The sequence below is a fragment of the Homo sapiens genome, chromosome 4 (genome assembly GCF_000001405.40).
Source record: "Homo sapiens chromosome 4, GRCh38.p14 Primary Assembly".
NCBI lineage: Eukaryota > Metazoa > Chordata > Mammalia > Primates > Hominidae > Homo > Homo sapiens.
This window is the reverse complement of record NC_000004.12, coordinates 128,468,359-128,480,425: the sequence shown is the minus strand read 5'-3', so window position 1 is coordinate 128,480,425 and position 12,067 is coordinate 128,468,359. Positions and strand designations below refer to the sequence as shown.

General features: G+C 41.3%; 1 long non-coding RNA gene across 1 annotated transcript in view, besides 2 other annotated features; it reads right to left on the bottom strand.

The window, feature by feature from the left end:
• LINC02615 (long intergenic non-protein coding RNA 2615) overlaps nt 1–12,067 on the bottom strand; it is a 91,383-nt gene that overhangs the window by 38,973 nt on the left and 40,343 nt on the right. The window contains exons 3-4 of the long non-coding RNA NR_125882.1: nt 10,210–10,376; nt 9,877–10,074 (exon numbers count right to left, since the gene is read on the bottom strand). This is a non-coding gene — a long non-coding RNA (long intergenic non-protein coding RNA 2615). The remainder of the gene's footprint in view (nt 1–9,876; nt 10,075–10,209; nt 10,377–12,067) is intronic.
• Nucleotides 2,890–3,059: an enhancer, noted in NCBI's record as "experimental_74020 CRE fragment used in MPRA reporter constructs". NCBI's record gives its function as "activates a minimal promoter by MPRAs in K562 erythroleukemia cells, with activity observed for the non-introgressed 4:129398607 variant allele {active_cell/tissue: K562}" and the evidence as "EXISTENCE:reporter gene assay evidence [ECO:0000049][PMID:34662402]".
• Nucleotides 9,687–10,886: an enhancer, noted in NCBI's record as "BRD4-independent group 4 enhancer chr4:129390695-129391894 (GRCh37/hg19 assembly coordinates)". NCBI's record gives its function as "activates an origin of replication core promoter dependent on BRD2, P300/CBP, MED14 and CDK7 cofactors, and independent of BRD4, by STARR-seq in HCT116 cells {active_cell/tissue: HCT116}" and the evidence as "EXISTENCE:reporter gene assay evidence [ECO:0000049][PMID:35650434]".

Below are 12,067 nucleotides of genomic sequence, written 5' to 3'. Positions count from 1 at the left end.
AGCAATAAACAAAACAGATAAAGATGCCCTCATGAAGCTTACGTTTTAGTAGAGGGAGACAAAGAATAAATGATGTACAAAGTAAATGAGTACATCATGAAATATGTTAGAAAGTGATAAACATCATGGAAAAAGGAAAACGTAGAGCAGAGTAAGAGGGATTGAGAGTGTTGATGGGAGGAGGGGGATGGCTGGCCAGGACTCAGACTTATTGATCAGAATGTTCACTAGATGAGAAGATAACACTGAAGCCAAGACAAAGAAGGGAGTTGGCCATGAAGATCTGAGCACAGAGAATTTTAAGAGGTATGGCTGAATTGAAGATATGTGGTGGGAGCCCTACCATAATGTTACAGAAACAGAAAGGACGCCAGTGAGGCTGGAACAAAATGAGCCACTGTAGACAGTAATGGGATCAGAGAGGATTGCAAGGACTTTGGTGTTCACTTTGTATCATGAGACAGCATTGGAACTTTTTGAACAGAGCAGTGACATAATCTGACTTAAGTGTTTAAAAAGACCACTCTGTTGTACTGAGAGTAGATTATTGGCCAGGTGTGGTGGCTCATTCCTGTAATTCCAGCACTTTGGGAGGCCAAGGGGGAGGATCACTTGAGGCCAGGAGTTTGAGAATCAATTATTGGAGGAGGGGGTGGAGAGGAAGAGTGAAGGGCAGAAGTAGGTGGCCCAGTTAGGAAGCTGTATTAGAGGCAAGAGGTGATGGAGGTTTCTACAAGGGTAATAATGGTGAATGGCTCTGTTATAATATATTTGGAAAGCAGATCCAACAGGATTTGATGTAGGATATGAAAGAAAGAGAGAAGTCAAGGATAACATCAGGGAATTTGGGGCTAAGGAAAGGAAAGATGGAATGCACTGCCATTAGCTGAAATGGGAGACAGAGAAGAGCTACGTGGAGTTTGCGGGGGAGATCAGGAGTTTGGTTTTAGAATAATAAGCTTGAGATGTCTATTTGGCATCTAAGTGAGAATGCCAAGTAAGCAATTGGATATATACGCCTGCAGTTCAGGCAGGTCTGGCCTGAAGATACAATTAAAAAAATGCAATAATTGCATATGGCAGGCACTGTGCTAAGCATTCTACATATGTAACTTATTTAATCCTCACAACAACCCCAAGACATAGCAGGAAATATTATCATCTCTTATTTCACAGGGTGGGAAACTGAACCACATAGAGGTTAAGGAACTTACCTGAGGTCACAAGAGTAGTTTGTGGAAGAGCCATGATTTGAATGCAGGAATATAAGTACCAGAATTCATGCTTTGAGCCACAATGCTACAGCACAGGTAATATTAATAAACTTAGGAGTCTTTGCATGTGAACGATATTTAGTTATGAGTCCAGGTGAGATCACCAAGGGAATATAACAGAGAAGAGAGTGTCTGAGGAATTTGTTTAAAAGTAATATGGAGTGGGTGGAGGGAAGTAGGTAGGAGCGTAGATGAAATAAGGTTGGCTCTGAGTAGATAAATACTGAAGCTGGGTAATGGGCACAAGGAGTTTCATTATACTTTGCTGTCTAATATGTGTATGGCTAAAATTTTGCATAATGACAGGAGAAAAACAAAGACAGAGGGATGAAGAAGAACAATCAAAGGAGGCCAACAAAGAGTGCCAGTGAAACAGGAAGAAAACCAGAAGCATGCTATCCTGGAAATCAAGCGTCCCGACTGTCTATTGCTGCATAACACACCCCCAAAACTCTATGGCTTAAAAATATAACAATTATACACAGTATAGAGATTCCTCAAAAAACTAAAAGTAGAACTGCCATATGATCCAGCAATCCAACTTCTGGGTATATATCCAAAGGGATTGAAATCAGTATGTCAAAGAGATACCTGCACTCCCATGTTCATCACGGCACTATTCACAATAACCAAGTTATGGAATCAACCTAAATGTCCATCAATAGATGAACAGATAAAGAAAATGTGGTACATAGACACAACGAAATACTATTCAGCCTTTAAAAAGAAGGAAATCCTGTCATTTGCAGCAACATGGATGAAACCAGAGGACACAATGCTAGATGAAATAAGCCAGGCACAGAAAGACAAATGCTGCATGATGTCATGTATGTGTGGAATCTAAAAAAATCAAACTCATAGAAATAGAAGAGCAGAATGGTGGTTACCAGAGGCAGGGGGTGGAGAGAGGGGAAATGGAGCTGCCAGTCAAAGGGTACAAAGTATCAGTTATACAGAAGGAATAAGTTCTGGAGGTCTATTGTGCAGCATGACCACTATAGCTAATAATAATGTATTGTATTCTTGAAAATTGCTAAGAGAATAGATTTTAAATGCCCATACCACCAAAAAAAAGTATGTGAGATGATAGATATGTTAATTAGCTTGATTTAATCTATAATGTATACACATACCAAAACATTACAGTTGTGCTCCCTAAATATTATTTGTCAATTAAAATTTTTATCTAAAAATAACAACCATTTATTTTATTCAGAAATCTGCAATTTAAGCAAGGCTCAGCAGGGACCTGTCATCTCTGCTCCTGTGTCATTGACCATCAGCTGGGGTGACTCTCCTGGGCCTAAGGACGCCTCTCTAAGGTGGTTCATGTACATGGCTGGCATCCACCAGCTGGGAGCTCAGCCAGGGTAGGCCTATCTCTAATCTTCGGTTAATCCCCAGATTGACTAAAGATAAGTAGTGCAAACGAGAATTACTTGAAACTTCTTCAAGCATGTGCCTTACTCTCAACTGACAAATGACCCTTCAGAGAACACTAAGAAAGGTTGCTCTGATGCTGGGACTGTTTCCTTTACAGCAATGACAGGAAGTGAGGCGAAAACATTTGTTATTTAGGTCTTTGTCAATGCCAGGAGAGCCCCCTGAACTTTACAGCAAAAAAAAACAAACAAAAAAACTCTGAATGTGTTTTTTCTTTTCTAATAAATTTCATTATGTATATTTGAGGCTTCAGATATATTATGGGACACATATAGATAGTAAAATTGTTACTATAGTGAAACCAATACATATCTATCATCTCACTTAGTTACTTTGCGTATGTGTGACAAGAGCAGCTAAAATCTACTTATTTAACAAAAATCCCTAATACAATTTTATTAACTATAGTTCTCATGTACCACATGATCTCTAGACTTGTTCATCCTATGTATCTGCTATTTTGTATCCTTTGACCTGTATCTCTCCATTCTCCCCACCCCTCACCCATGGTAATTGCTGTTTCATTCTCTATCTCTGTGTATTTGAGCTTGAGCTTCTCTTTTTTTTATTCCACGCATAAAAGAGAACATGCAATATTTTTCCTTCTGTGTCTGGCTTATTTTACTTAGCATAATGCCCTCAAGCTTTAACCGTATTGTGGCAAATGGCAGGACCTCTTTTTAAAGACTGAATAATATTTCAACAATAAATAATATTCCATTGTATACATAAAGACATATACATACACACAATGCAATATTACTTATTTACACACATACTAAAGTTTATATTATGGTGTATATATATATGCTTCTTTTATGGTATATATAAATTTATATTGTGGTACGTCTGTGGTGTGTGTGTGTATATATATGTATATACACTGTAATTCCTTTATCCTTTCATCCATCGTTGGGTGTTTGGGTTGTTTCCACATTTTGGCTACTGTGAATAATGCTGCAATGAACATGAGAGTACAGATATCTTTACGAGGTGGTGATTTTATCTCCTTTGGGTATATACCCAGAAGAGGAATTGCTGGATCATATGGTAGTTCTATTTTTAATTTCTTTAGAAACCTCCATACTGTTTTCTGTAATGGCTGTACCAAAAGACATCTGAATTTTATGGATACCTTTTAGTCACAGCTCCTTTTTGGAATGTCTCCTTTGTAAAATACTTTAAATAGCTGCAAGAAGATGGGGGAGAGGGTGAAAAGATGCATACAAATTCTTGTGTCTCTGACAGAGAATAAGCAAATAGCAGAGATTAGTTTTTCCTTAATCTTCTTTTTTTTTTTTTTTTTTTGAGACAGAGTCTCACTCTGTCACCCAGGCTAGAGTGCAGTGGCACAATCTCTGCTCACTGCAAGCTCCACCTCCCGGGTTCATGCCATTCTCCTGCCTCAGCCTCCTGAGTAACTGGGACTACAGGCACCCACCACCACACCCGGCTAATTTTTTGTATTTTTAGTAGGGATGGGGTTTCACCGTGTTAGCCAGGATGGTCTCAATCTCCTGACCTCGTGATCTGCCTGCCTCGGCCTCCCAAAGTGCTGGGATTATAGTCATGAGCCACTGCGCCCGGCCTTTCCCTAATCTTCCTACTCATGATTCAAAATAGTTCTGTTCATGGGCTTTTCGAAGGTCGTCACCATGGGCAGGATAGCAGTTGTTCCTCGTCAGCATCCTAAGGTAGTGACTACCACTGAAGCCTATCAGAGTTCATGGAGAGTTTTTAACACCGAGACCTGAATTCCAAAATGCTTTGACACTTTAAATCAGGGAAGAGGTTGGAGTGCCAGGGCTATGTCTCCCCCACCATATGCCTGACAAGTACAGAAGGCTGGGCCAGCTGTTCTCAACTCCCCTGAAGATGCTGAGACAAGTGTGGGTCACCCCACATGGCACTGAACATGCAGACAGAGACCACAGGGCTGTTGCAGAGGAACCAAGGAGGAAACAATTAAAAAACACATAAGGAGAACTGAAAGGCAAGTTTCATATTTATTTGCCCTTTTTTGCTAACTCAAAAGTTCAAGGAGGGCCTGAAGTCATTAGATGTGACAGAGTACATGTTTTGATCATGGTGCAGTAGTTCTGCATGTTGTACCTTTGCCTGTGTTTTACCATTTGAGAATGGATTTGAACAAGTCGGCTTGTCTCTGCAGTGAAAGCCCTCAGGGGGTCATCCTCAACATGAGGCACCCATTGTTGACCAAAGCCATTGGCTAAGACTTGAAGTGTTTCTCAAACACTCAAAGAACTGAAGTTGGTCTCAGAGGCCGGCATCCTTTCATCCTGTGCCTCCCACTGATGTAACTTAGTCAGATCACAGGTGTGCTAACAAGGCAATTGAAAGCAAACTCTTTTTGCCAGCAATATAAACACACTCCAGGTTCTTTTTTTTTGAAATGGAGTCTTGCTCTCACCCAGGCTGGAGTGCAGTGGCGCGATCTCAGCTCACTGCATGCTCCGCCTCCCAGGTTCACGCCATTCTCCTGCCTCAGCCTCCTGAGTAGCTAGGACTACAGACACATGCCACCACGCCCGGCTAATTTTTTGTATTTTTAGTAGAGACGGGGTTTCACCATGTTAGCCAGGATTGTCTCGATCTTCTGACCTCGTGATCCGCCCTCCTCGGCCTCCCAAAGTGCTGGGATTACAGGTGTGAGCCACCGCGCCCAGCCCTCCTAGTTCTTTTTTTCCTTCACTGCTCTCATCACTTATTAGTTTACCACCATCTTCTTGGCTTCTAGGAGATTTGTCTCCTGATTTTTCTTGATTTCTCGGGTTGCCCTTCCTCATTCTCCTCACAGACTCTTTGTCACTTCTCACACCTCCACCTCCTCATCAGGCCACTTTTCTCTTCATTCTTCCAGCTCTCAGCACCTCATCCTCCCTCATGGTCTAAGACGATCCCGCTCCCCGCTGACCGTCCCTGTGGTAATAGAAGCTACACAGAGTGACAGCACCCACTCGGCAACACAGTCTTTCACCCCAGTTACTGTAGTGGCCTTCTACAATGTTCCCTGGTCCATGATCTTGCCCCTTCCTATTGCATCTTTCACACTGTTGCCAGCATAATTGTTCCAAAATAGAAATTCCATCATGCCACTCTCTACTTTCAATCTTTTAATGGCCCCAGTGGCTTTGGGGCCATTAACATCTAATTTGGGGATAAAAATCTAAATTCTTAATATGGTATAGAAGCCTGTTCCACCTGGACCTGTCTACCTCGGCCCTCACAGGTGCCCTTCACCATCCCCATCCCAAACAACTTGCATTTTAGCACATACACCATGCTATTTCTCATCTCTGTCCTGGAACCCCCTCTCCTTGCCTCCTACAGGATGCCCAACTCTCATGTGTCTTTCCAAAAGCAGCTGATGTTTCCTCTTCAGAAAGAAAACTCTCATTCTTCAGGCTACAGCAGGTGCCTTTCATGTGTGCTTCCTCTATCAAAGCACATTACAACAATAATTCTTATTTTGCTGTTTGTTAATTTCTTCATATCCCTCTTCCTGTGTGCCTAGTTCTCAACCGCAAGCATGTTTGAGATACTCAATAAGTATTGCACGAATCAATTATAGCTCAACCATGGATCAATATGTACACTACTTTTCTTTGGTCAGTTCTGACTTGTTTCACTTCCTCAAGTTGCTCCTATTCTAGCAAGAGAGACAGAAAAGTAAGTAGATATTCCTAGTATAATAATCTCAGAGGATTCATGGGCCCTCTAGGCTCATCCAGAAATCCCATATTAACAACTATAAACAATGAGGAAATAGACACACACAGGACAAATCAGAGAACATCATTCTTTAGTAACATATAGTGTCAGAGCCTTGTCAGAGCATTTGCATTTATTTATTTATTTTGAGAGAAACAGGGTCTCACTCTATCGCCCAGGCTGGAGTGCAATGGCACAATCACAGCTCATTGCAGCCTCAAACTCCTGGACTCAGAGATCCTCCCACTTCAGCCTCCCGAGTAGCTGGGACTACACGTGTACGCCCCTAGGTCTGACTAATTTTTTAAATTTTTTGTAGAGATGGGGGTCTCCCCATGTTGTCGAGGCTGACCTTAAATTCGTGGGCTCAAGCAATCCTCCCACCTTGGCTTTCCAAAGCACTGGGATTACAGGCATGAGCCACTGTGCCAGCCCCAGAGCATTTGCTTTACAAAATAAGGCTGAAGAGTTCAGAGCCATACCTGCCCTCCAAGATGGTCTGTCTCCCAGTAGGCAGCAGCTTTGGATAAAGTTCACTTAGCCAGTTTTGAAACCACCTAATCAAGGTGATTCAAAACTTGGTGAGGTACTTGGTAAAATGCTTTGTGGTAATCCTTTGTTTTACTCTGATATACCAATCTCATAAACTTTAACAAAAAAATTACCGCCTAGCTTTTTATTTCTCTTCACCCAAGAGTCTCTTTCCTGGGGTCCTCTGTGGTCTACAATTTCCTTGGGAAGTTTCCATCCTGTCTTTCTCATCTTGCCATCTTCAATCTGTTTCTCTTCTGCTGCTCCCAGCCCTACTTTCAACAATCTAATTCACAGAGTATGGACCCTCATTTCAGCACCTGCCCTTGGCTCTGTTCACCACTTTTTTTAATCTCATGCCTTTCCTACCATGTTGAGCATTTTTGCCTCATCTCTCCTACCCCTCCCTAGACATTGGCTGGGCTTTTTCATCTTCTACTGTGAAAGCACCTGATCTGGTCACCACCGTGTGGCACCTAGGCAGTAGCCTCTGGTTTGCCCTGAAATGTCATCACCAAAATGCACACTGACTTCACAACTATGACACTGACTATAGTAAGAAAGAGTATGACAGCAACACACAGCACTGGGGTCAGGGTTTCTACATCTCATTTCCCTTTGCAACTGGTATGACCCCTGTATGAGTTAACTGGCTTGATTGTTTAGAGCTATAGTTCTTAAGCTTCTTGTGAGCTGCAGAGCCCCCTACTCAGATAAACTCTTAGTGCTAGCAAGTAACATTTAAAACGCTGACTGGTTCTGGCTGATGTGGGCGTAGAAGTCCAGAGCCTCCTTTGCCTCTTGTTCCCATGACCCTCAGGGATTCTGCAGAGCCCCAAGGTTTGAAAAGCCCTGGGGGAGGGTACTTTTTTTTTTTTTTTTTTTTTTTTGAGACGGAGTTTCTCTCTTGTTGCCCAGGCTGGAGTGCAGTGGCGTGATCTCCGCTCACTGCAACCGGGATAGGGTACGTTCTAATGAAGCCCGTGTGGCAAGCTCCACACCATTCAGGTTTTGCCATAGGCTATGCAATATCCCAGAAACCAATGTGACTTCATGGTTATGTGGATAGATCCTAGGAAAGACTGTCAGGTTCAAAGCCCCACTCCCCCAGTCACTAGCTGAGGCTGATTGGACAATTTACTTAACCTCTCTGTGCCTGAGTTTTCTCATCTCTTGAACAGTGATTATAATGGTTCCTGCCCCTTTGTTTGTTAAGAAGATTAAATGAGCTCACAGCAGAAAGGGCTTAGAAGAATACCCGGCCAGGCACAGTGGCTCACACCTGTAATCCCAGGACTTTGGGAGGCCGAGGTGGGCAGATTACCTGAGGTCAGATGTTTGAGATTAGCCTGGCCAACATGGTGAAACCCCGTCTCTATTAAAATACAAAAATTAGCCAGGCATGGTGGCACACGCCTGTAATCCCAGCTACTCGGGAAGCTAAGGCAGGAGAATTGCTTGAGCCCGGGAGACAGAGGCTGCAGTGAGCTAAGTTCATCATGCCACTGCACTCGAGCCTGGCCGGCAGAGTGAGACTCTATGTCAAAAAAAAAAAAAAAAGAATGCCTAGCTGATCTAGAGAGGTGGTAGATAAATGTTTGCTACTATTATCTTCTAAAACCATACACTGTCCTTAAGGAAGACCCAGGGACACAGTGTAAGTGACTCAGCACAGCCTTCCATTACCACAGAACACACCCTGTGGTGGGAGCCAACACAGTCCTCCTCCTGCATGGGGTATGGCAGACTGGTCCTTTGCAAACTGTGTCTTAGAGTACATAAAGTGGTAGCTCAAGTTCCTAAAAAGGGACATTGACTTCATCCAATAGAACAACTGGCTCCACAAAGGAGTTTATTTCCCAAAGTCTACTACAGATTTAGGTCAAGTGAAAGATTATACACAGTGCACAGCTTTTCAATGGAAATGGACTGGGCCATTTGATTAGACTTGTAAATTCTAAGGTTAATTGGGAGTTGAGCATTGCAATTTCAGGAAATTGGTTACTAGGCATGTTTGTATATTTCTGAATCTGTCCCGTTTATAGCTGCAAATATATGCCATTAATTTATGATTTTCTTTCTACAGGCTTCACCAGGGTAAACACAAATAAAGAGATTAGTCATTAAACCCAGAAGGAATTTGAGAGCAGGGCATAAAATTTAAAGAAGGTTATACCCTGAAAAAAAAAATGATGTGAGAACTAAAGGCAACAGAAAATTAGCTGCTAAATCTTTGGGATAATGCAGTTTTACAGGTTGTTTTTAATAATACTTGCTATATTGTACTTTAATCTGTGATCTTCCAAGCTAAGCTAAGAAACTCCCAAGGGAAGAAGGGTAGAGGCCTAAGTAGTGTAAATAGATCTTTCCTAGAAAAATCTTTTCTTTCCTGAGTTTGTGTTTCCTTTATTACTTTTTGCTCATCAAACCTAAGGGGAACATATAAAGTATAGATACGGACTCTACTTCCAGAATGCCTACTTTCCCGACTAAAATCTGGAATGAGAAGAAAGCTTGGAACTGTGATTCTTAAGGCTCAGCCCGAATCAGATCCCTTCCCAGCCAGCACAGGAAGTGTAGGAACAGCTTTGTCAGCATCTTCATGCTCATGCCCTTGATGAAAGAGGAAGGAACTGGTAATGATATGGTCCACAATACCTTATCCTCAGTTCCAAAATCCCAAAAGCCCTGCAACCAAAAGTTTTTCACATATTTGACATAAAAACTCCATAGGTGGCAAAAAATCTGACCTTTTTGACATGAGGTTCTACATAGTCACTACTGACCTGAGGATGACGATGCATATATGTTGTGGTCAAAATATTAATACATTTGCTTATGAGGTGCTGACCCAGACTCTACTGGAAATACTACATATGCAATATATACCATTTACCTTTCTAACATCTGAAAAGTTCTGAAATCCCAAATCTGTCTGGTGGCCGAGTCCTAAGTGATTTGAGGTGAGAAGAGGTCTGAGAAGACAGGACACCACTGTGGCTCTGCAGAAGGAAAGTGACAGCATATCTAGAAAGCTGGTGTACTTCAGATGAACAGGAACTCAAAGGGAGCTGTCAGGGGCATCCATTTCAGCCTGAGGAGCAGAAAACCAGTGCAATGCATGACACAACAGTCGCTAGCCACACTCCTTAACTGACTGCCCATCCCTGTCTGCTGGTACCAGTCGAGGCCCAGGTAAGCACAGAATGGGAGATATTGCCACACCTACCCTCCCAGAATCCTCATCTCAGGACCCACAGCAGTATTTTTGCAAGCATCTTTCTTCATTTTTTCTTCTCTTTCACCATCTCTCCACTTCAGTTTCTCTTCCATTCTTCCAAATTCCACACTATTGTCACTCAGAATTCACTGGTGGTGATGGAAAGTCTAGGAAACCTGAAAAGAGCAAAATAAGTTTCCACCCTGGTTATACCTTTTTTTATTATTATTATTCTGGATTCAGACTGCCTGGGTTCAACTTATGACTCTACCACTTCCTAGCTATGTGACTGTAAACAAATTATTTCATCTCTTGTTGACTTAATTTCCTTGTCCATAAAATAGGGATAATAGTACCTACCCTAGACAGTTGTTGAGAGGATTAAATGAGCTAATAATATTAATATTATTATGTGAGCTAATATTAAATGAGCAAATATTATTATTAGCTAACAGAAAGTGCTTGGCATATAGTGAGTGCTTCGCAAACATAAGCTGCTATCATTTTTATATGTGTCTGTAACTGTCTTCTAAATAAATTTCATACACTGACAATGTGCTTTTTTTCCCTGTAGAATTCTTTACATCCATTTCTTAAGTTGGTACCATAATGGCATTTGATGGTCAATAATTACTTGGTAAAAATGAAGATAAAGGATAAGACAACAAAGAGATAGATGCACAATCAAAACCTGAGTATAAAGTTCCAACATTGCTTTCATGATATCGCCTACTATAACATTCTGGTGGTGTGCACAGTTTCTCCCTCTCCTCTTTCCTCCTCTTGCTAATTTGTTTTGAAAGCTAAAAAATAAAATGAAAAAAGGGTAATGAAACATTTGATATACAAATTTGAAATAAAACTATTAAGCAGAGACAAATCTTTGAGGTAGTTCATATTATATTCACATTTTTGTTTTCAGATTACCTATAAACACTAATGTAAATAATGTAATAATCCAATTGTCCAACTAATAACACACTGAGAACAGTTAATTATGCATTAAACTGAAGCCCAATTATTTGTGTATGGCAACTAGAAATCTTTCCAATGATATATCCTTCCCTGATACCCCACAAACTGTCCTAGAGGTTATGCCTTGGAGTAGATGTCTCCTGACTTCCCCACCACGTTTAGAGTAATGCCTGTCCAAACTGGCATTGTGGGCCATCTCTACCAGTGAAATCATAAACTTCATGTACATTTTTAGTGTCCCCAACTCTGAGTCCATGGTTGTACTGGGAAGGCTGGGAACCCTATATACTAATCTACTCCTCTCTCACCTACTCTGACTACGGAATTAATGTCAAGACTGATATAACTTTTTTTTTCCAGGGTCAGCCCTAAACGGACCAACCCATATCTGTCTCAGTCAAGTTCACCTTCACCCCACTTTATTTATCAAAAAAGTATTCACTAAAAAAATGTCCAACTTAAGGAGAAAAAAAGAATCACAGCTAAATGTGGGTTTAAAGCTGGAGAGACTTAAGATTGAAAAACTGCCAGTTCTTACTGCTCACTTACTCACATGAGGGTTTACAGCTCCTGAAATCATGCCAGGGCTTTGAAAATGAAAGCTTGCAGTTAGAAAACGATGGCTCATGACAGCAAGGATCAGTCATGTGACAGGCCAAGCGTTTTCTGTCATTGCTTCCCTCAATCAGACAGAGCTTAGAAATGGAGGTTAATCGGTGAGATAGCATCCACAGAGGCTGAGGGCAGCAGAATTCAGCCACAGCAATTAATCATTTAATTGCTTTCTGATTCACTTTAAATGTCTTTTAAAAAGATATTAAAGAAAAACATTATTGAAAGGACATTTTAGACTATTTAATAAAGATCCAATATGCCCTTTGTGAACCAGAAA